General features: G+C 37.7%; 1 long non-coding RNA gene across 2 annotated transcripts in view; it reads left to right on the plus strand.

Moving 5' to 3' along the window:
- The first annotated feature begins 4,239 nt into the window (after positions 1-4,239).
- Positions 4,240-26,085, plus strand: part of LOC105374737 (uncharacterized) — a 31,257-nt gene continuing 9,411 nt past the window's right edge. For both annotated transcript variants that reach the window (XR_925942.3, XR_007058745.1), the window contains exon 1: positions 4,240-4,315. This is a non-coding gene — a long non-coding RNA (uncharacterized LOC105374737). The remainder of the gene's footprint in view (positions 4,316-26,085) is intronic.

Below are 26,085 nucleotides of genomic sequence, written 5' to 3' on the forward strand. Positions count from 1 at the left end.
TAAATCCATAATGAAGGAGGTTCACATCAAGTTATTAACCCCTGTCCTGCTGGCAAAAAGATGGCAATGGTCCTTAGAAAGCCTCCATTTTAAAATGTCTCACTTTTTTTTTTTTAAGCTTCACTTTTTTTTTTTTTAATAATTATTATACTTTAAGTTTTCGGGTACATGTGCACAATGTGCAGGTTAGTTACATATGTATACATGTGCCATGCTGGTGTGCTGCACCCATTAACTTGTCAATTAGCATTATTTTATCTTACCACTGAGAGATTCGCTTTAGTTAGCAAGCTCCTCTTTTAAAATGCAAATGAACCCTGGAAGAGTTGTACCATTATTCAAACCAAAGTGTAAATGATAATAACTGGATAACCAGATATACTGATTAAGAAAAGGCACACTGTGAGATTAGCACTTAGTATTCCCATTTTACAAACGAGTAAACTGTGATTCACAGAAGTTAATAACTTGTCCAATGTTACACAGCTAGCAAGTGCTATATCCAATATTTTACCTCTTCTGTCTGATCCCAATGCCTATACTCTTTTCATTTTATTAGTAGATTTCCCTGTAGAATCAAACAATTGGGGAAAGCCATTTTCTATAAAGGACGACACAAGGAGAAGAGTAGAACATTTTCCAAAATTAAACAACTGTCCTGCAGCATTTCTCCAACATTAATTGCCAAGATGATAACTATATGGTTCTCTTAGTGACCTGAAAGAGGTAATGGACAAATTTCAAGTCTTAGTAGCTACAGTAAAAGAGAAAAATCTCACATTTGATGAGAATAGGGGTCACAAACTCAAAAGTCTATAGAGACCAGGCAAATATAGAGATGAGTGAAGTAGGCCAAGTGCAAGCCATAAGTTGGCAATTAGTGCAGGCCCCGTTTTACAGATCTCAGTAAGGAACAGTGAAGAATTGCATAAAAGGGAGAGTGTAGGCCCCAACTGAAATAGGAGCAGTAACTCATCTCCAGCTAGTTTTTGAAGGACTGCAAACCAGTATTGTCAAGTTATTTACTTTTTTTAGCCAGAAATTTAGATTATTGTATAAAATCACTCAAATTTTTAAATGCTGACAACTAATTCAAATTTAAACATCATTCAAGGGCCAGATGCAGTGGCTCACCCCTGTAATCCCAGCACTTTGGGAGGCCAAGGTGGGCAGATTGATTCATCCCAGGAGTTCGAGACCAGCCTGGGAAACATGGCAAAACCCCGTCTCTACCAAAAGTTAGTTGGGCATGATGGTGCATTCCTATAGTTCCAGCTTATTCAGGAGGTTGAGGTGGGAGGATCACTTGAGCTCAGGAGGAAGAGGTTGCAGTGAGCTGAGATCATGCCACACTAATCCAGCCTGGGTGAGAGAATGGGACCCTGTCTCAAAAGAATAATATAAAGTAAAATAAAACATCATGCAGGCCAGGACTGTATAAGTTAAACCAAACACACTTAAAGGGGATTTGGGCCACAGGCTATCAGTTTTTTACCTCTAAAATGTAAAAAATATGATCTTCAAGATAATGTTGGGAGTCATTGTCACAAACTTGCTGAGTTGAAACATTATCAGATATTAGTGCCTTTTTTCTAGAAGTTTGCAATCTACTGGGACAGAACAGCCTACTTAATTCCGTATAAATAGGACTAGTCAAAAACAACATGCTGAATAAATGGTGAATATGAGTGTACTGCCACACATCCACCATCCCAAGATCTATTTGAATGTCACATGATGATATGAGCCACATTTGCCATCCATAAATCAGCATGAATTATCTGCTGGGCTCCATTCTGGATTCTGAGGATAAAGCAGAAAACAGCAAGGTATCTGTCTGCATGGAGTTTACACTCTAATATTGCAGTTATCATCCTATCATGACCATTGATATGAAGAAAAATAATGCAGCACATGGCAATAGGAAAAAGAGAGTCATCCGAGAAGCCTCTCTGAGAAGGGTTCATTTGATGGAGAGTAGGATGTAAAGGAGAACTCAGTCATATCCAGGGTAGAAGCATTGCAGAGGAGAAAAGAGCAAGGACAAAGCTGTGAGGTGGGAAATTGCCTTAATTATTGCAGGCACAGTTAAGGCCATGTAGGGCCGCAGGGAGGCTGGTAGGGGATGAGTTTGGGTGCTAGCCGAGGACCTGTTCATATAGGGCTCTGTAGGGCTTGAGAAGGACTTTGCTTTTATTCTAGTTGGAAGGAGAAGCAATGGCAGGAAACAATCTGACTTACATTTTTAAAGTTTCATTTCTGGATGCTGAGCAGAGAATGTGCTACCAGGGTCACAAGAGTGGAAGCAGGGAGACAAGTCATGAAACTGCTGCAGTGGTCCAGGACAGGGGGAGTGGTGAGGACTCAGTCAGTGATGATGGAGATGGTGAAGAGCAGTCAGTGAAGGTGAAGTCAGCAGGATTTGCTGATGGAGTAAATATGAGGATATGAGATAAAGAAAGGATCAGGAATGTCCCCACAGTGTTTTGCATAACCAGCTGGGTAGACAGTGGTATCACCTTCTGAGTTCTTTCTTGTACAAGGAAAGAACAAGTTTCTTTTTAGGGGAAGAGCAATGTGGAATCAGGAGTGTGTTGGAAATATTAAATGTGGAAGTCTACTAAATTTCTAAGTGGAGATGCTTAGACAGCTGAGTTTCAGTCTGGAATTCTGGGGAATAGTCAGCACTGGAACTAGAGAGAGGGTATCTAAAGTTACGGAAGTGCACGAGGTCTTCTGAGGGAGAGAGAAGAAAGGGAGCAGAGCTATGAGAACAAGCCCTGGAGTGCTCTGGGCAGAAGTCATGAGAAGAAAGGGAGGTCCAGTACTGAGACTGAAGAGGCTCAGAACAGGAGAGATGGAAAATCAGAAATGGGGGTTGTCCAGGAGCCTCGTGAGGAAAGTGTTTCAAGAAGGCAGTGAATTGATGTGGAATACTTTGAAGAGGTCAGGGGAAATGAGAACTAACTGATCGTGACATTTATCCACATGGAGCACAACAGAGACCTCGATAAGAAGCATTTCAGCAATGTGGAGGTGAGAGCAGTCTAACTGGAGTGGGTTCAAGAGAGACTGGGAAGCAAGCAGACTGAGACAGCAGTACAGCCAATTCTCTTGAGGAGTTTATTTTTAAAATATATTCCAGAGGAGAAAGAAAGAAAATTCTCCTCACACACACATAAATTTTCCAACCTGTTAGAATTCTTCCCAATTACAATTCACCACCTAACACCATACTTAAACCTAAACACAAGTCAAAATACAGCAAATCATTGGTAGACTAAATCTCAATAGAAAAAGCCATGCCCAAAAAACATAACTCACCTCCAAAAACTAGCCTCAAATACTGTATCTAACCAAAAAGCCTAATCAAACTGCTTTCTCTCATTTCTCATTCCACTTTCTCTAAGTACACTTCTTGTTACCCAATTTCCTCAAGTAATCTCAATTACAATGAAAATACGAACAAAGATCAATTCTGCATGCCAGAAACCTGCATGTGTTCCTCATACTTTGAGAGAAGACAAGATAGCTATATATGCAGATGACACTTTACTATGGAAGACAGATTGATAGTGTCTTAGTCAGTTTGAGCTGCTATAGCAAACTACCAGAGGCTGAGTAGCTTAAACAACAAACGTATTCCTCCTGGTTCTGGAAGCTGGAAGTCCAAGAATAGTGGCAGCATGGTCAGGTTATGGTGAGGGCCCCCTCTTCCTGATTATGTCCTCACCTGGTGGATCTGCCCTCATGGCTTCATCTGAACCTGATTACCTTTCAAAGCTCCACCTCCAAATACTATCACATTGGGGACTAGGGCTTCAACATATGAATTTGGGGGGACACAAACATTGGGTCCATTAGCCATCAAGAGATAAGCTTCTTAGGGCTCTTTGTTTAGTCTCCTAATCCTTTTTTCCACTTTTACTCTCTTAAAAAATCTCTACACCCAAATTTATTTCTCTTTCTTACCTCACCTCCCCCTCCTCTCTTCTTTTGTTTTGTTTTGTTTTGTTTTGTTTAAGCCCTCTGATTACATGATTGATTACATATCTCCTCATCACCCCCACACCTCTGCAAACCACCAGCAGTAACCTATCAAGCTATTCTAGGTCAAGAGCTAATTGTTCCTCTTCTGCCCTCAACCTGCAGGGAGTCCCAGGAATACCTCCAGGCAAAATTGCTGTCTTTCCTTCCCCAGGACATCTGAACCAGGTCTAGTTGAAGCAAAGTTGGTTGACAACTCATGCCTCTTGTCCTGGCCTGTTCCTCCAGTCTCTACAGCTGTCACTGAAGTTCAATCTCCATTAACAAGGTAACCAGGGGCAGGGACTCCAGGTCTGGAAGCCAAGCTGGGGATGGGAGAAGTTAACCCTTCTCTCAGTTTCCCAAAGCAAAAAGTGTGGGGAGGTCTCTGAATTTTCAACAGCTGTTCTCTCCTCTCCCTGCCTAGCCTACTTAGGTCTATGTCAGTGAAGCAGGCAGCAAAATCACCCATTGTAGGCACGTGCTAGCTCAGGTTCCAAGGGAATCTGAAAGGCTCACCTTGCTCGATGTGTTCAGGCCATTCAGCTACAGTGTTTTAGAGTTACTGACATGTCTCTCAGGCTCAGAACCTTAAGATGATGCTTTTTCTGATGACTGCCTAGATTTTCTGGTATTGATCAGATTAGAACATGTCTGAGAAAATCTGTCCTCTGGGGGCCAGATAGGAAAAGAGAGGGTGAATGAGGAAAAAAAAATCAATTTACAGATACCACAAACAGCCAGGAACATTTCTGGCCAGAGGTGTCCTTTCTGATAGTGCTAAATGGGTTAAAAAGCCATCTCATCAGATCAGTGGAACAAATGAGAAACCACAACTGCGAGTCAATAGGTATTGATTTACCCCTGTTGTGCTTTAATGATGTTTCAAAAGAAAAATGATACCTGAGCAGAGGCACACATCCACAGCAGCCAGCCTTTCTGGGAAAGTCACTCAAGAGTCCCACAAATAAATTGCCTACCATTGAAAGCAGAGGTGTTTCCATTTAAGCTTTATTGAAATAGAAATCTAGAGTCTTTGCAAATGTAACATGTGAGACCAGGAAATTTGTCTTTTCAAGTCATCAAACAGTTAATACCTTAGCTAATTCAGTAACAAGTACACCCACTGAAGCAGAACCTAGAGTTATGAACTAGCCCTAAGACCCATAAATCTTGTACATTGAGAAATAGGGTAGAACCTGCTTTTTTTACACCAAAATACTACGACTTTTTAAAATAGTCCAGGATCATTTAGGATTATTACAGATCTAAGAAAAATACATGTTTCATTGAATCACAGGTGTTAAATACTCCCTATATTCCCAAAGTCTCTCTTATTAAGTGAAGTCTCTCTTAATTGCAGTGTCAATCTATTTATAAGAGAAAAAAAAAATGACTCAGGCCCAAAAAGAACGTAGCATATTTTACAAATAGGAGTTAGATCCCATTCAGAAACTGCAGATGGAAACAGTATCTCTTATGGACATTGGGCTGGTCAACAAGGAAACTGTGGGCCAAAAACCATGGGAAGAAGTAACAGCAATGCCACCAGCCAGTTAGGGAAAAAGGGTGAAATGGCATACCTGTCACTTTCCCTTTTACAGTTTTCCTTCTCCAGCTGAAATTTATTGGCTTCACAATGACCTCAGCTCCTCTTCCATTAAAACATGTTGAGACATGTTGGCACCTCAAAGCATTCCCATAATTTTCAGAAAATGAAAAGACCAAAGCTGTTAAACCTAGCTTGCAAAAATAACAACTGCAAAATGAAGTGGGAAATATGTTTCAACCAGCCAGGGAGCCAAAGTCCAGCACACTGGGCTTCAAAGAGCTCTATTATTATAAACACACACCTGGATGCTAATCCACACCAAAAACATACATTCTGAAAACAACAGAGGAAGCCAGTGAGCAACACCATCACAGATCAGTCAATAAACACCCTCTTCTAGGAAGACAGGGAAGAGGAACTACAGAAAGACAAAGGTGAAAATCAGCCAACTATATATATTTTGACAAACTTTGAGCTTATACAAAGATATGAAAAAGCTAATCTCTAGAGGAAAAGTTAAGCATTCCTGCAAACTAACTGGGCAGTTCATGAGAAATCTACTTCTCATTTCCAATACTGTTGAAACAGTTTTTCCAAGAAGTCTTCTCTCTCACTAATGGGAAGAAGCCTGTAGGGTATCACTTTTGAAATTCTTCCCTCAGGCATCCCCCCTTCCTCAGATCTAGGCACTTTGATTTTTCTTTGACTGCAGTGCACATCTCCATCCCTAGGACCTTCCTAGGCTGTGAACACACTGCATACCTTGCATATTTTCCTACCTTTCCCTTCCATGTAAAATATACTTGTCCTATGTTCCACTTCCCTAGATTCTGTCCTCAACCAAAGTCACAATGAATTAATCATATAAACAAATTAGTTAGCCCGTGCGCTACACCTCTCACCTAGAAAAATATGTCTGTAATCTTGTTTAAATGCTTATTTTCATCAAAAAACATTTGACTGGACTAGGTAACCTTCAAATTGTCTCCCAACGCTAACATTGTAAAATTATATGAGTAACTCCAACCAGAAAAAAAAAAAAAGTAAACCTTGGGCTAAGCTAATTGGTAAGTTGACCTTTTGGGGTCCTTGAAATTAGACAATTTGTGTTGTTGCTACTGGGTGTAAACATGTCACATCTGCTAGTTGACCTTCAATCAAAAATTTATTGGCAATTTTTAGAGGTTATTATTACATTTTCTTGTCTATTCTATGTCCTTCAGTGAATTAAAGATGACTCAAATTCTTTGCTCTTCCTCCCATCAGAAAGTTAGTCTATTTTCTCTCCAACATGGAATCAAGCCAGCCTTATGAATTTATTAATCAATAGAAGGTAGTGAAAGTGACACCTTGCCAGCTCTGGCCTAGGCCTTCATAGGCATGGAAGCTTCTGCTTTCAGCCTCTTTGGAGCCTTAGCCAATACATAAAGTAAAGATATTCCATTACTCTGCTGCAAAGACCTGTAGCAGGAGAGAGAGAAAGATTTCTGTCCAGCCTCCAGTTGTTTCAGACTTAGCTGAGGTGCCAAACATGTGGATAAAGCCATTTTGGATCCCCAGCCCTATAAAACCTCCAGATAAGTGCAGCCACATGAATAAGTCAGACAAGGCCAACAGAAGAATCACCCACCTGAGCTCAGCCCATAGACAGTTGTTATTATCAAGCTACTACCTTTCAGAATGGTTTGTTACTCTGCAATAGATAACTGCAGCACATCCCTAAAAGCTGACCTATTCCTTTCTTTGAATAAAGAAGGTATTAATAACAAATAAAATAATTTTTAAAGTTTCTAATTATCATAGTCATTTCACCCTCCAGCACACACTTACTCTTACAATGGCACATCAGTAAAACTCATTCAATACTTTCTCAGCTGCATGCGTGTCCTTAATATCTGTTGCCATCCACGAAGTCATAAATTGTAAGCTCCTGCTGGCTAGGATCCAGAAACTCCAATAAGTATTTTATAAAGACTTTTCAGAAATAATTTCAGTCAAAGCCTTCAGCAATTATCAGCAATATTTCCTATAAGTCTTACTACTTTTCCACATTGAGAAGTCTAGAATTGGATCCTCAGAGAGAAACTCCACTTTTAAAGCCTCCATTTTTCATGTCATGCTTTTGACTTAAAAGAGCATTGAAACCATAAACCTCTCCCAATGTTCTTTTCACAACAATACAATGAATTATAACTTGGCAACAGGCAGGAGTGTATTTGTATTAATTGGCTGGGAGGTTGGTTATTTGTAAAAGGAAATTTTTAATTCCTCTGCCATGCATTCATGTGTGACAAATCCCTGACACCTGCATAGACATTCCTAGGCCAGAAGCTTATAGTCTTGTCTGGACTCCCTAAGCTGAAAAGTCATCCTGAAAGAATCCATGGATAACAGAGATGACAGTGTTTCAGAAGCTTAGAGTTTGCAAACCATCATCAGAACTCCATCAGACCGCTCATCCATGACCCCTTTCCATGACCTATGACCTTTTTTCATAGGTCATGGAAAAGTGAAATGTTGATTTAATTTTTTTCATAAAATTTGCAAAGTTAAAATGGTATGAATTTTGTATTAGTCCGTTTTCATGCTACTGATAAAGACGTACCTGAGACTGGGAAGAAAAAGAGGTTTAATTGGACTTACAGTTCCACATGGCTGGGAGGCCTCAGAATCATGGCAGGAGGGTGAAAGGCACTTCTTACATGACGGTGGCAAGAGACAATGAGGAGGAAGCAAAAGCGGAAACACCTGAAAAACCCATCAGATCTCGTGAGACTTATTTGCTGTCATGAGAATAGCACAGGAAAGACCAGCTGCCATGATTCAATTACCTCTCACTGGGTCCCTCCCGCAACATGTGGGAATTCTGGCAGATACAATTCAAGTTGAGATTTGGGTGGGGGCACAGCCAAACCATATCAAATTTCTTTTGGGTAAAGGATATTCCATTTTTAGTCTATATACTTCTGAAATGTTGGGCTTTTTAAGAATAAATATGCATTATTTTAGTATTTGTTTAAACATATGATCAGCAGAGAAATTAAATTGTACATAAAATATTCATATTAATATATTTTTCATTATTTGTGGAACAGTCATAGCATAAGTCAGAAAACTATGGGCATCCTAATGAAGACAGAAAGGGCTGTTACACACATCATGACACAAAGGACTAATATTGTTGTACTTTATCTTAATGTAATGACAATTGACTTATAAATGCACTATAAATACATCATGCCCTTTCCTATAACACTGCATAAATCTCTACATCAAACACCAAACTCTTAAAATCTGAATAATGTAAAATGCCAGTGTCTTGATTATAATGTAAACTGTCCGCCACATAATGTGATCTAAAAGTCAAAAGTTAGTTTTGCACCCTAAATCTCTTTTTCACCAGCCTCTTTTTAACCATCTCTTTTTTACCAACTTAACCTAAAGAACGGCTTTGGGAGGAATATCAAGTCTGTCTGTGCTTGAAATTCCTGCCAAAGCCATTCTTTAGGTTAAGTTATAATGCTTACAGGAGACCTCCTTTAAATACAAATAGTGGGCCGGGCACGGTGCCTCATGCTTGTAATCCCAGCACTTTAGGAGGCCAAGGCAGGCAAATCACTTGAGGTCAGGAGTTCGAGACCAGCCTGGCCAACAGGTGAAGACCTGTCTCTACTAAAAATACAAAAATTACCCAGGCATGGTTGTGGGCACCTGTAATCCCAGCTACTCAGGAGGCTGAGGCAGGAGAATCACTTGAACCCAGAAGGCAGAGGTTGCAGTAAGCCGAGATCACACCATTGCACTCAAGCCTGGATGTCAGAGCAAGATTCTGTCTCAAAAAAAAAAAAAAAATACAAATAGTGGTTTTCTTAGAAAAGTAACCAATTCACCTGTTAGAATCAACAGTTTTACCTGATTAAGCCATTACTATACAAGGCTTGACTCCAAATAATGATCACTGCTGATTGTGCTTACTTTCCTGATCTTTTTCTCATGTTACTATTAATGCAAATGATCATGATTATCTGTACAATTTGCTGAGCACCCATAATGAATTCGGCCCAGTAATTAGTACTTGCCACACATTATTTCTAGTACTGATATCACATTACAACACACTATTCTCTCATTTCATGGATTAAGAAACTGACATCCGATGAATTTAGGTGATTCACCCAAGTACACGTAGCTCCTAAGAAACAGTCAAGATGCCAACCAGAGCTGTGTGAAGCCAAAGCCAGAAATCCCTCTACACTGTGCTTATGATACTTAAGGCCAAGCAAGCGCTGTACCTCTGACAAAGTTATAGAATTACCTGATTTATGAGGAAAATTCTTTTTTCTTTGCCATGCCATATTCTTGCCATTTACAGCCAGTGACAGAAAGAAGGCAATGTCACCAATCCAGTCCATCTTCTGCATGTTCCTTTTCTCAACCCATGGCCCTTAGCCAAGACTCTGGTCTATCCTACCCTCCTTCAGTTATTCAAGTCTAATTATAGCTCTCAGAAGCCTCACTAACTCAGCAGATAATAACCACATCCTGTTGAATTCAAATAAAATATTTTTAAAACAATGATAATTGTACTTAGTGATGTTTTTTATAAATAACAAAAAGATAATCACCCTTTAAATTCATACAGTGAGTAGTCTTCCCTCTCAAAGAACTTTACAAGTATTAACTAATTGGTGTTGTAAGATACAGTCATAGTAAATATCCTTTAACTTGTGGAAGCAAGAGTGTCTTACTTAAGGTAAAGCAATTCTGACCCTTGCCTGATAGCACAGGGTGGGCCTGACTCTCACCCTGTCGAGAGGAGCCTCCTGAGCACAACGGGGATGGAGCAGAAAGTAAAGTGAAAATAACGGCTGGGAATTTGTGGAAATCTTTTCATCTACTGGTCACGCTGTTCACAACAATTGTTTTGATAAAACCTTCTCCCGGCCATACAATTTCCTTTTTTTGTTTTTGTTTTTGAGACAGTCTCGCTCTGTCGCCCAGGCTGGTGTGCAGTGGCGCAATCTCAGCTCACTGCAACCTCCACTTCATGGGTTCAAGTGATTCTCATGCCCCACCCTCTGGAGTAGCTGGGATTACAGGCATGTGCCACCACTCCCAGCTAATTTTTTGTATTTTTAGTAGAGATGGGGTCTCGCCATGTTTCCCTGGCTGGTCTCAAATTCCTGAGCTCAGGCAATCTGCCCACCTTGGCTTCCTAAAGTGCTGGCATTACAGTCATGAGCCACCGCATCCAGCCTGCTATTTTAAAATGTAGCTTTCCCAGGAGTTTGAGACTGCAATGAGCTGTGATTGCACCACTGCACTCCAGCCTGGATGACAGAGTGAGATTTAGTCACTATAAATAAATAAATAAATAAATAAATAAATAAGGCTTCCATCAGTTATGATAGTGTGATATGTGATGTAAGGAAAGGCTGAAATCTCAGCAAACTATTCGGCCTGACACTGGATAAAAAACTAAGCTAATAATACTTCAGGCCATCCAGCCTTCTGCCACCTAAGGAAGTGCTTCAGATGGCCAAATATTTCCCTGGTTCTGTTTCAGCTTTTATATGGAATTGTGGCTAAGTTCCTCTATTGTTTTAGTGTAAATTGCTCTAATAGTTAAATAACATAGCATTTCTCTATTAATTCCTCTAATATTTGAACACTTCCCATAAAGATTTCCAAGTAACCATTATTGGCATGACAACATGGTTATCTCAGGGGCACAACTCTGAAACTGACTAGAGAAATACATGAGACCCTTTTTGGGATCCTGGGCTGAAAGATGCACAAGTGTAATCCAAACTAAACGGAATTCTGTACAGAAATGGGACCCCATGCAACATCCAAGAAGCTAACTCTCCAAGCCAGTAAGAAAGAAAAGAGAAAAAGTTGCCTTCTATGTTTAACTTATTTTAATAAAAGAATCTCCCAAAGAACTATCTGGCTGTTTCATCTGTATGTTTATATTATTTGGCATTCATAGCCTAGTACCTAGAGCTACGGTGGAATCCCCAGGTGCTGCAAAAATCCTAACATGTCAAAGACAGTGCTCATCAAATTCTATGGACTTCTCTATATTTCACAGCCTCTTTTGCAGGTACGTTGGGGGTCACATGACTTCTTCTAGTCAAAGGACTCTGAGTGGAAATGACATGTGTCACTTCTAGGCTAAGATGAGTGAGAACCAGTGCACCTCTGCCATCTCTCACTTCCCGTACCATGATCATTGCAGAGGGTGCACATTCCAGATTCTATAGCTGCAAGATAGAATGGGAAATAAGCAAGAAATAACCATTTACTGCATGAAGTCCCTGATATTTCAAGATTTTTATCTATGTGACATCTAGGGCTAATTTTTTTATCTAATACACCTTAGAACTCTCATTCCTGCACAATACTTTATGACTTCAATGCATTTTAAGCTTGAATATGACCTTGAACCTGCCTGCCAATTTGTAATATCATACAGTAGTGGCTGGACAACTGAATATGGAGGCAACAAGGCAGTTTTAGGATTGTGTCTCCATAGGAACCACTCATTAAACTCCTTCTGTGTCCTTCAGCCTGGGCTATATGATATGGAGAGACAAGAAGGAAAGAGATACAGTTCAGGCTCTCACAATGCTCAGGATTTTGTTTCCAGTAAGGTTTTAGGCTCCTGCGCCTCCTAACCAGGATATTATTAATGCGCTGTGGCTGGGTTGCTTAAGAAATTACATAATTATGCCACATCAAGGTTTTATACATGCCTAGAATGGCAATCACATGAACAAGGGGAATAAGATATGAGGATTTAATTGATGCCATGAATTTCAACTCCAATTAGATTAATTAAATTTATAATTTAGTTTATAGTAACTTTCTCCACCGTAACTCTGCCAAAATGCTTGGGAGGCTGTAAGGGTTAATTTAAAATAATCAGAGAAAAAAATGCTAATTGAAACCATAAAACTAGTGTGGTGGCTAGATTAGTGGGCATTTTAGCCAACAGTAATCCCCATGTCTCATTTCAAAAGACATGACAACCTTCTTTTGTCATTTATCTTCTTTTCACTAATGGGAAAACTCAGGGACATGTGGGCCTGTGCCCCTCTCAGTCCTCCTGCCCTTTCCTTTTGTCTTTTTGAATGTCTCTTCTCTGTTCTCAGAAGATTAAAAATATTATGTTTTTGTTTTTTGGTTTTGCCTCTTTTGCTTCCATGACATCTACCTATATCCTTTGAGTTGCTAGGAAATCAGGTGCACTGCCTGGTTCTCTTGTGACTCTTCAATGACCTCTTCCAGTGTCTGTTTTTGGAAGGAAAAAAGAGAGAAAAAGAACAATTTGCTTAATGAATGTTCCCCCTCTAAGACCCAGTGGAATCCTAATTATCAAAGCCTTCTATAGGAACCTGTCAAGGGTATGAACTGATTGCTTTATATTAGGCCAACTCCCTCTTGCTGGAACTGTCATTTATTCAGAGTAACTTATTTTATTTATTTATTTTATTTATTTATTATTTTTTAGATAGAGTCTCACTCTGTCTCCCAGTCTGGAGTGCAATGGCACCATCTCGGCTCACTACAGCCTCTGCCTCCCAGGTGCCTGTGATTCTTGTGCCTCAGCCTCCAGAGCAGCTGGAACTACAGGCACAAGCCACCATGCCCAGCTAATTTTTGCATTTTTTTTTTTGTAGAGATGGGGTTTCCCCCATCTTGCCCAGGCTGGTCTCGAACTCCTCGCCTCAAGCGGTCCGCCCACTTTAGTCTCCCAAAGTGCTGGAATTACAGGGGTAAGCCACCACGCCCAGCCAGAATAACTTCTTTTAAATTGCCAGTTGATTCCTCCAGCTACCATAATAAGCATTTCAATTGCTTCCTCTAAATGTCTCAGGGAAAGGAAAAAACTGTCAGGTTAAAGAATGTTATATTAAGAAAATTTAAAAAGAACAAAAACAACAATATTGAAGACTTTCTACACTATAGGTCAAACAGTTTTATTTGCATTATATGAGTTTTCTCATTTTATTAACTTGCAAAAATCTATGCAATATAAATATAGGTGTAACATTTGTCCATATATGGCCACTTAATGAAAGCTCTCATTATGTGACACTATCACTAAAGCATAGCTTTTTTAATAAAGTCTTCCTCTAAGAAGATTCAGCTCTTCAATATTCTTTATGAAGCTCCATAATACTGTAAATCTTACATTGAATATAAAGGTATTTCTCCATTTGCATTATTCTAAAATGTGAAAAATATGTTGAAGGAATCAACATGCACTATAACATAAAAGCAGCTTATTTTGCTGGGTGTTTTCTCCATATGATCAGAAAACAGTTTTTTTTCATGCAGTGTTCTAAAGCGAATTATGTTTTTAGGTAGATTGGAAAGAACACAGGACTAAGAACTGGAACGCCTGCATGCTGAACCTCGCTTTGTGCCTTAGCCAGCTGTGTCACTTGAGGAAATCACTTAATGTCTCTACCACTCAGTTCCTCATCTATAAAATGATGAGCACATTTCTATATTGTCTGAAAAAATCTAATTTAGAATACAAGCTAATGATCATACATTTAATAATATTTTTCGTTTCTCTTATACCTCTATCTTTCCACCATCAAATAATCAATGATAAGTCACCTACTGTATGTCAGTCTCTGCTAAGGCTTAGGGATACAATTTAAAAAAAAAAAAAAGATTAACTCTGTTTTCTACAAGACCATAATTGGGTGAGGAAACAGTCATGTAGACAAGTAACTAATTCAATGTTATCATTGCTGTAACAGGGGTGAGGATCCAAGATCTATAGGAAAACAACCAGGGCAGTTGGAACAGTCAGAAAAGGCTTCAGAGAAGATGTGGCATTTGTTTAGGGCCTTGAAAGATGAACACATCATATTTTTGCATAACCTCTCTATATACCTGCTACTACTTTAATGGATATTTGGTCTTCTTTCATGATGCATTAAAAACCAGTTCTCCAACCAACTTAACCATGGCCCTAAATAAAATTTATTTTCTGACTATACAGCAGCAATCCAGTTGCCAAAATAAAAACACTTTATCTCTCTTATTGGAGGGAGAATGGATACATAAGATCAAACAGAATGGAATATGGAAGTGGCTTAAAGATATAGAGTTTACTGAAACAATCCAAACAGCCCACAGTTTCCATCTCTCATAAGGAAATTCTACTTTGAGATGCCCTGTGATTTTACGTGTTCTCTTGCTTAGATACCCAAACTCTTGTAAAAGAAATTCTAGCCAAAAAATTAAGCTTTGGTTTATCTTTGGAACCTATAAAAACCTATATTGACACATATAGGGATGTGGTGGCTCAAGCATCTCTATCAACACATCCATAGTTGTGTACTCCAACCAGCCTCCATTCACAGCCAGAGCCCTATCACTCCTACCATCTTCTATCGGCACTCTAACCAGGCAAGTAACCTGTATTCTTCCCATCAACAACTGCATCAGGGTAGACTTGATATGGAGAGATTCTCAAGTTGGTGTAGCAGTATGCTAAAGTGAATGGAGTAAAATCTTAAAGATGTGCACAATGGAATCCTTCAGGGGGATCTTAAATAAAATAAAAAACATCCTTTTTATATTAAAAAATAAGTCCTCAAGGCTGACAAGACTTTAATGGAAGGGAGAATACTGATGCACTGTTGACAGGTCTGCAGAAGATTATAGTCCTTTGGGAAGTGATTTATCCACATGTCTCAAAAACTTAAAAATGTTCATGTCCTTTGTATTAGTCCGTTTTCACGGTGCTGATAAAGACATACCTGAGACTGGGCAATTTACAAAAGAAAGAGGTTTAATGGATTCACAGTTCTATGTGGTTGTGGAGGCTTCACAATCATGGTGGAAGGCAAAAGGAACATCTCACAAGGCAGCAGACAGGAGAACAGATTGAGAGCCAAGAGAAGGGGGTTTCTCCTTATAAAACCATCAGATCTTGTGAGACTTATTTACCACCATGAAAACAGTATGGGGGAAACCGCTCCCATGATTCAATTATGTCCCACTGGGTTCCTCCCACAACACGAGGGAATTATGGGAGCTACAATTCAAAATGATATTTGGGTGGGGACACAGACAAACCATATCACCCTTGGACACAGCTTCTGGGACATAACCCTACTTATGTTGTTACCTAATGATTGTTAATTGTAATAAAAATACAATACAATCCAAAAGTTCAACAATGAGAAAATTGTTTATTGAAATTTTTGCAAATTCATTTTACAATACTGCAGTATACAATATATTCATTAAGTAAAACTTAACAAAGAGTTTATAGAATATTGGAAAACACTTAGGTTACAATATTAAAGGATTACACCAAAATACAAAATTAAATAAACAGTTGAATTTTAGACATTATCATGCTTTCTTAAAAATGCATTAAAAAAGATTGGCAGGAAATACACAAACAAATTCCCAGTGATTGCCTTTGAGTAAAATACACTGACCAATATTTGTATTATTTTACTTTATAATATTTTCCTTGTTTTCTCTAATGAGATTCAGGACAAAATTAAGTGCATTGTATGCAATAATTTAGAATGGTGCTGTTCAAGTATGGTGTTATTCATAAATCCACAGACAGCCAGACAGATCAATGACCTCAATGAGCCAACACAAAATTCCAAAGGATGCCAACAAAGTAAAGAGCTAAGGGAGGCTCAGTGATATAAAAAAGCAAAGTTAGATTCCCAGAGCTTGTGAATAATAAAAAGGTAAATGCAGAGAAATACTGCTATTCAAAATGCATCTGATTCCAGAATGATTTGCCTGATAGATACATTCAGAGTTTCTCTGCTAATGAATCTTAATTTAACCAAAGAATTAATTCAATTAATTCAACCAATCTTTATTGAGCACCTACTATACACCAGATATTTGTCTATGTGCCTGGAACACAAATATGGCATTGTCCTTCAAGAAGTTTAGAAGAGTATAGTTCAGTGCTGTAGCTTTTATTACATCTGGGTTTAACTAATGTAGGTAATTTCCAAAAAACTGCCTAAAGATAAGAAATTTTAAAATATTTCATTTGGACTAGTAGAAAAGAAGGAAAGTTAAATTCTAAGGAACTGATGACGAAAGGTTAAAATTTGGAGTTAGGAAGTCAAGTTAAGATAAAGACAGTCATAATTCATTCTGATATCCTACAGCTGCTAATACTAGTAAGTTGGAGGAAGAAATCAGTTTACCAGAAATGAGTCAGTTGTCCACGAACATTAGTTGCGTGCCCACTATGGTCAGAAGCACAAAAAAAAAATTTAATAAAGAACATTTTATCTCTTCCACAAGAAACTTACACACTAATTTGGGAAACATAACGCAAAGGAAATAAGAAAGCTTTTGCGATCCTGGCGTGATGGCTCACGCCTGTAATCCCAGCACTTTGGGAAGCCGAGGTGGGCGGATCACTTGACCCCAGGAGTTAGAGACTAGCCTGGGCAACATGGTGAAACCCCCGTCTCTACAAAAAATACACAAATTAGCTGGGCGTGGTGTGCGCAGCTGTAATCCCAGCTATTCTGGAGGCTGAGGTGGGAGAATCGCTTGAACCCGAGAGGTGGAGGTTGCAGTGAGCTGAGATCACGCAACTGCACTCCAGCCTGGGTGACAGAGCGAGACACTGTCTTGAAAAAAAAAGAAAGAAGCTTTTGTGAATTTCACTTGTCCAATAAATCCAAACGGAAAAGTAATGAGTAAGAGTAAGAAAGGCACCACACAAAACAGGGAGCATAATCTAGGGTGTAAATAATACAAAGTTCCCTGGAAAGGCATCTTTGCAACTGTCTTCTGAAGATAATGAGGGACGCTGACAGAAAAGAGAGAGGAATGGCATGCCCAATGGAAGTGAAACAAAAAAGTAACATCTAAAATAAGGCCAGGAAGTTGAGTTTTGGTTTGACTCTAGCCCAGTGATTCCCAAACTCGATGGCTCCTGGGAACTTTTTAAACACACCTGTGTCCAGAGATTCTGGTTTAATTGATCTGTGTAGGGCCTAGGCGTTAGTGTTTTCAAGAAAATTCTCCCAGTTGATTCTGGTGTTCAGCCAGTGTGGAGAACCCCTAGATAAAGAAACCATATGACTGAATTATGTGAAATGATGTACTTGAAATAGAAAACAAATATTTGTGACTTAGTTAAAAGATAGCTTTAAATACCATAATTAATTTGACTCATTAAACTGTGAATTTCTTGGAAGCAGGGTTCATGTTTTTATTCATTTCTGTATGAAAATAATACTAAGTTAATACTTTTAATGATTGAATGATTGATTAAATGAATGAATATGATGTTTAAAAAATCACAGTAGGCACTTCAGCCAACAGATAAGATGATGATAATTTTTAAATGAGTTTATTTCAACCTTATAACTGAAGGATGAAAAAACAGGTAATGGTTAAATGCTAGGGAATGCTCCCTGTGCTCCAGGTTGTGTACATGCAGTGTGTAATTTCACACAATGAGCCTTTCAAGTAGATGTTGTTATCCCAAATAAGGGAACCGAGGTCCAAGATCACTCCATGTTGATGAGTAGCAAAGCTAGGAATCTGGATTTGCAAAAATGTTGTGGTAGTTCCTCTTGGTGAATGCCTAAATGTATATGAACAAACACCACACACACCAACACAGGTTCAACTTTCTGAAGAGAATTCCAGCTTTGGACCTGCTCTAATGATGCAGAAATAGCATGTGATTTAATTAAGATACTTACCTAACCACAAGATTAGAGCTCTTAACAGTAATCAGAGAGGTGGGTCAACATTTGATGTTTCTAGGAAATAATTTCTATTGCTTCATCTCTTCTCTCATATAATTTTATTAGAAATGTAATAGAAAAGAACACATATTGCATTGCACTTTGTTTTGGAATAGGAAATACAATTGCTTTATCATTTAGGGGAAATTTTTCGTCACTCATTATTTCTCTGTTCGCATTTAAAGAAAGCTTTTCTTTTCATTCTTTCAGAGATTGTCTGAAAAGAAATGTTTCCGTTCTGTATGATGTCATGTATTATCTAAAGTAGTAGAATTATATGTGGATAGAAATAAGAAACTAATAAACTGAAGAGAGCTTCTCAAATCATGTATTAAAGATTGTGATTGACCTTGAAAGACTGCTCTAGATGACCTTATTTGGGGAACAAGACACTTTAAGCACTAAATTTGTTTAAAAAGTAGGACTGAGGACATTTTAGGAAATATTATCCTCTGTTCAAGGATAAGTAGAAGGCCTCAATTACAAAAGGAAAAATGCAGCCTCCCCATGATGGAAAATGGGAAATCATCCTATCGGCATTCAGCACTATTGATATAAACAAGTTAAGCACATTAATTGCTTTGTGATGCTTTGGGAAATCAGAAACTGGAACTTTTGAGAAACTCTGTGTTTGGATATAACCAAAGCCAATTTAGTAGAGCAACAATTTGCAATATATTGCCAACTGGAAACACAGCTGAATTCTTCTATTCTTAAAACACTTCAACTTTGTAACTTCAACCTCAAAAATCATATAACCTCTACACATTTTCAATTTTAACTTCCTTTTAATATGAATGATCTTACCACGTGAAAACTTTAAATTCACTGTTAGAATTTTCAGCTCAGGCTCAGCAACTACTCCTTCTGAAACATTCATTCATTTACTAACTGAGGTTTGCTTATATTTTTAAAATATCAAACTTTTAATGTCCCTCTTTCTCGCCTATTCCCGCTCCCTCAAATCCATGAATGACTCTGCCATAAACATCACTTATTTTTGGCATCCAAGTTTCTGTGTTCTAGTTGGGAGCTTTGCTTTTGGCTTGGACTGTGCACTAGTGATACTCAACAAAGCTCCTGTGACAGAGTCTCTGAATTGTTCTAGAAGTTAGAAAACATAATTATCCAGAAATTTTCTTGAACTATATTTAGGAAGAGTTTACTGCCCTCTGCCAGGGGAACCTAGCTTCTGGGCCCCCTGATTTATCAGAAAGATACTTTGGGATTTAGAATGGTCTTTTTTTTATTTTTTTTTTCATTTTTTTTCTGTTTTTGTTTTGTTTTGTTTTGTTTTTTACTTTAAGTTCTGGGATAAATGTGCTGAATGTGCAGGTTTGTTACATAGGTATACATGGGCTATGGTGGTTTGCTGCACCTATCAACCCTAGAACAGTCTTTCTAACTTATTAGCTGCAAGATTGGGACTTCTCCATAGTCTAGCCTCGGAGGGCCACTCTGAAAAAAAGAAAGGTCTTCCCTTCTGGGGACATGGGTTGTCACTTTATGTAACAATTGTAAATTATATTACTCTCCATTTTCACTGCCTGCGTCTCTCATCACTATACTCTCTTATTCTTCATTTTAAAATGACAGATAAACGGGAAGTGAGCAATGATAAAATAGTTCAGAGATTATGTAATCAAAGGCAGAACTCAAACCATAAAACAAGTTGCTACAGTAAAACCACCAAACCCCAACTGAATAAAAACAACACCATGAGAAGCAAAGTCCTCTAACAAAATATGGTTCATTGAAACAAAAGTATTTTTGGAAGTGGAGCCAAAAGGCAATCCCCTGTGAGGGTCCCAATGACTTTCACCCTGAATACCTAGAAGAGGCTGAGACAGAGCTAACTACCATGGGCAGTCCATAATATGCAAAGCTCTTTACCCCACATACTGCCCAGTTTATTTCTTTCCCAATCAGTTGTGTACACATGATGTTCTTCCTTTCCCTTTTTCCTCCTTTAAATTGCTACGTTGCACAAATAATGTGTTTTAGTCATCTTTCTGTCGCTGCAATACAGTGCTTTGCAATAAATGCTTATTGAATTAAAAATTCTAATTGGAGACTGTGCCATTAATACAGGTCTTTTTATTGCAAATACAGGAAGGTCTATTTATATAAACACAAACTAGTTTTAATAACCTGCTTTGGTAGGAGTTTCGTGCAGTAAATTGATTGTTAGAAGGCCATATTTTAAGCCTAATGTTTTGTTTATAACATTCTAATAAATAATAGGTGTCAATAATATGAATATTAGTCTGTAAAATTATGTTATTAAGTACTATTTAACTCTCACAACCTTTCCTTCTTATTCCAATACAAAAAAAAATGTGGGGCAAATGAGGATTTAGCAATTATGCCTCTTATTTCTGCTCAACAAAAACAAAAAAATTAATTTAAATATATGTATTAACGCTTTTCATATTTCAAAATTATAATTTCTCTTTCAAAACAGAATGACAGCAAAAGGATTTCCTTTTATTTTCTAACCAATCCAGATCGAGAGAAAACTAAACACATTTCCCACAGCACCTCCAGCCAGTAATCTTCACAGCTACTGAATTTTATCTAAATACATTTTCCTAAGACAGAAAGTAAAGAAATCAAAAGGATTTTTTAAGTCAAAAATACTGTACCCCAAGTTCCCTGGTCATTTATGTTAAGTACAAGAAAGGAAAATGTTTGGCATCCAAGCTTCCGTCCCCACTTCCCTTTATGTGTGAAAAAGTTCTCTCATTACAGTGATGATATTATAATAATAACAATCTGGAACCGTACATGTGTTCAAAGCACTCACACACATTATCTCCATCTAACTTCCATAGCAGACATATGAGATCACTATTATTATTATCCCCACTTTACAGATAGAGAAACTGAGAAGTGAAATAACTTGCTCAAGTGATTCACGTAGTTATTTCGAAGGTCTGAGCTTACAAGCACGCACACTGGAGCCATCTTTCCTTATATAACTCTGTTAGGTGGGTAGAAGCAGAAGTAAAGTAAATTTTTTTTCTTTTTTTTTTCTAAGCAAGTAAAATAATTCAACTGAAAGTTTTCAGGAAGTCCCTCCCAAAAAGGTTCATTCATGACCAAACTATTATAAAAACTCTCCATGTCTAATGATTCCTATCTTTAGTGGCTGATCCATTTATCTTGCTTCTAAAATTTCCTCTAAATAGTACATTTTACTCAGGTACTAGAGTTCTTTCTCAATTATCAAAACCCAAATTCATTGGCACACATAATTTAAAATATTTATATTTCCAATTATTTGATTCACATTGCACAGAGAGATGTTACAGGAATCCAAACATGAAGAATCTTTTGGATATAAGAAAATAGATAAGATCAACAACCAGGAAACATCTCATTCAGTTTTTAGAGTGTCTAATCTTAATTCCACAGGGAAGAGAGTTAGGAGGATGGTTTATGCTATACCCACACATGGGGGGAAATGAAAACCAAGACATACAGGAAAAATGTCTAAGATTTTTAAATTATTGTTTTTGTGTATATGAATATAAGTGATTTCTCCTCCTTTCTGTTGTTCTCTATATTCGTTTTAAAATAGAAAAAATAATCCTTATTTTACAAAATTTAAGGCACCATCAATTTTTTTCATTTACTTTTTTTTTTTTTTTTTTTGAGACAGGGTCTGGCTCTGTGACACAGGCTGGAGTACAATGGCACAATCTCAGCTCACTGCAACCTCAGTCTCCCAGGTTCATGCGATTCTAGTGCCTCAGCCTCCCGAGCAGCTGAGATTACATGTGTGCACCACCACGCCTGGCTAATTTTTGTATTTTTAGTAGAGAAAGGCTTTCACCACGTTGGCCAGGCTGGTCTTGAACTCCTGACCTCAAGTGATCCACCCACCTTGGCCTCCCAAAGTGCTGGGATTACAGGCCTGAGCCACTGCACCCAGCCTTAATTTGCTTTTGTTAGCCAATTTCAATGATGTATAAAGTACAATTTTACATACAATAAAATCACCAATTTTAAGTACACAATTCAGTTAGCTTTGGCAAGTACATTCAGTTGTGTGACCATCACCACAATCATGATAGATAACTTTTCCATCATCTCAAAAAGTTCTTTTCTGTCCCTTTGCAGAGTCTCTTCACCCCTGGCCTTAGACAACTACTAGTCTGCTTTCAATAACAATAGTTTTGCCTTTTCTATAATTTAAAAATTATATAATGTGAAGACCTTTGCATCCAGCTTCTTTAACTTTTAAGATTCATCCATGATGTCATATGTATATTCATAGTTTACCCTTTTTTGTTGCTGAATTCATTATATGGACACATCATAATTTCTTTATCCAGTCACAGTTAATGGAATTTAGGTTGTTTCCAATTTGAGACTAGTATGAATATTTGCATACAAGCATTTCTTTGAATATGTTTTCATTTCTCTTGATTAAATAGCCAGAAATGGAATTGCTGGGACGTACACTAAGCATGTCTAACTTTTTAGGAAAGTGACAAATTCTTTTTCCAAAATAGCTGTATAATTTTGCATTTCTACCAGCAATACATGAGAGTTCCAATTGTTTCACACCCTTACCAACAACTGGTTTTGTCAGTCTTTTTCATTTTAGCCATTCTAGTAAGTATGTAGTGAGATTATGTTGTGGTGTTAATTTGCATTTGCTTATGACTGATCATAAATGTAAGATGCCATTGATATTTAATGTGCTACCAAAAAGAAAAACTCTTGCCAATTAAACAATTGCACAATGATGTTTTATCACTTAGAAATTTTATTTTATAGCTACTTCTTAAAGTTGTCTCAGACTTATTTAGACATAGACTTTTTTTCATATATCTCTCATGTATAAATTAAAAAGGAATATACAAGCAAAATTCATTGGTGAAGAAAATGCTAAAACTTCTTCAAATGTGGAGTTCCACTCTTCTAAATCCTTTTGGCACAGTTATCAGTGTTAGCGTTTTCCTTGTAACATCATCTTCTGTGTCCACAACAGCAGTGGAGAAGCAGCATTTTATTTTGGAGTATGCACCATTGTTGCTTCTGAAATTTTTCTTTAAGCCACTAACAACATTCTGCAAGCTTTGATGCTGACACATACTTGATTTTATCAGACTGAATTGAATTTCTTAACAGAAAAGATTCACATTTTTTCTTCCTATGGCTTATAGACTGAAATGGTAAGGGGATTCAGCTGTGCAGTCATGCTACCAGCAATGACAAGTATGAGTGAACGTGAACAACAAATGGTAACTGAATCAGGACAGTTGCCCAAAAGTAGTTATTGTATAGATGTATTATAGATTGTAAAGATCAATTGTAAGATACACCCCAGTTTCAGAAGAATATGTGAAAAGTGCCTCTTAGAAGCATAAAATATAATTGAAAATAAGCATGCTTTTTAAAAGTTGTCTTCTTGGTTTAGATCTGTGTTCTTCAATACATAAGACACACTCGTAAATGCTGCACTTCCATTATTTTTAAACTACATCACACAGTTTGACAAGTAATTACTCACAGTCATAAAATATGCTCCAGTGGTTTGTAAGTTAGTCTTCTCCCCACCCCCACTTGACTACAAAGTTCCTCCAGTTCAGGAATTTTTCCTTTGCCTCCTCTCATATTGTTTGTAGCATTAATTTCAAATTTTGTGTAATGACACATTAGAGTCATGAAATCATTCTGATGGGTCATGACCAGCACTTTTTAAGCAAAGTAGAATAAAAATATGAGTGCAATACATAGTAAATGTAAGAACCATTCCATAATACTTTTGCTTTTTTAATTATATTTATATATGTGTGGACTACTTGTGGCATCAAATGTATTTCTTACAGAATGTCATAACAACAAAGGACTGAAAGACATTACTATAATGGCATTAGAAGCATTCAATAATACCAATTAATTGATTTTTGCAGACTAAGCCAATTTTAAACTTTAAAAGTAGCCAAATATGATGGTCCAAGTCTTCAGAAGTTATTATCAGGATGATATACTTTTACCTTCTTTCAATGAGGATAATATAGGGAAAGCTCTTGCAATCCCTGTTTATCTATATAATTACCATAGAATAGATATATCATAGTTCCGTTTCTAAAGGAAAAAGTCTCAATTTCTGACTTGAAAATGAGAAAATCAGGGTTCTGCAGTCTGGTGTGGGTTCTGCAATCTGAACTGGACCCAGAATTTTGAGTCCCGGGAGGCTAGTTATTTCAAACCCTTTCAAACTGAGATTATTTAAATAATTATTCAGCCTTTAATTGAAAGAAAGCCCTCTCCTCAATTCTTCTATCAATAAATCTTGCCCCCAATCTGCACAACCAAACCAAAGACACAAGGATTCTAGGGATAATCAGATCCAATCTCCCTAAAAAGCAGTTCTAGGATGATTTATCTGTAATTTCTCAAACACACCACTCAGTGTGACCTCACTGCACACACATGACTTATCAAAATATTTCTTCCAGTCAAATTTGGTAGTTCTTTCAGGGAAAAGTTCTGGTACATGCAATTTCTTCCATCCCTGTTTCAACAATTTCAGTAATGTTCAGCTTCCTGGCAACCTGCTGTCCTCCAGAGTTGCCTGGCTAACCTATCTCTTAATGTCTTCAATCTAACTCTGGTTGTCATAGGAAAACTGCCCTTGAGCCTGGAATTTTGAGTGCCTGGCCATGTCACACAACTGACCTTTGGCATTTTACTTAGACTCAGTGGGTTCCATTTTCTTCATCTGTAGACAAAATTAGCTCCCTGCCTTTATGTGCTCCAATGCTCTATCTAATGTCATGAGTTCATATTCTTGATGAGTAGTTTTCATATCTTCTCTAAGAAATAAGGGTTATGAGAGGTGAGGTATGAACGTTAAGACCATGCCATAAAAGTTCTGCTACAATCAGTTTTATTTGTTAAATGCATATAAGGTTTCATTAAAATAAAGGATTCTCTAGACAAAATAAATAAAGCATTATAGGCAATTGATTCATTTCAAATATTTGTTATAGCCAGGTATGGTGGCTCACACCTATAATCCCAGCACTTTGGGAGGCCAAGGCAGGAAGATTACTTGAGCCCAGGAGTTCAAGACCAGCCTCAGCAACATATGAAAACCCTGCCTCTACAAAACAACAACAACAAACAAATAAACAAACAAAACAATAGCCAGGGGTGGTGGCACACACCTGTGGTCCCAGCTACTTGGGAGGCTGAGATGGGTGGATTGCCTGAGCCCAGGAGGTTGAGGCTACAGTGAGCTGTGATCATGCCTCCAGCCTGGGCACCATGCCACTGCACTCCAGCCTGGGTGAAAGAGCAAGACCCTGTCTTAAAAAAAAAGTATATATGTGTGTGTATATATATATATATATATATATATATATATATATATATATATATATATACACACACATAATATTTGTTAAGTAAGATCCCAGACACTGTTCTAGGAGCTGGGATTTTCCTTGTGAATGCGACAGAGAACCACCCTGCCTTGGTGGATATTAAAGTGAATATTTATATGAAAGCAATTTTTATAAACTTGAAAGCACTACACAAGGTAATATGTTTACTTACATTAAGTGTATATAATTTTATTTTTAAAAGTCTTATTTTATCATTAAAATGTTTCTATCAGATCTAGTATTGGTACAGTCCATAAGAAGAACATAACTGAAAATATCAATATAATCAGTTGGAAAAGAAAAACCTTTTGTA

Source organism: Homo sapiens, chromosome 5 (assembly GCF_000001405.40).
Source record: "Homo sapiens chromosome 5, GRCh38.p14 Primary Assembly".
In the NCBI taxonomy this organism is placed as follows: Eukaryota; Metazoa; Chordata; class Mammalia; order Primates; family Hominidae; genus Homo; species Homo sapiens.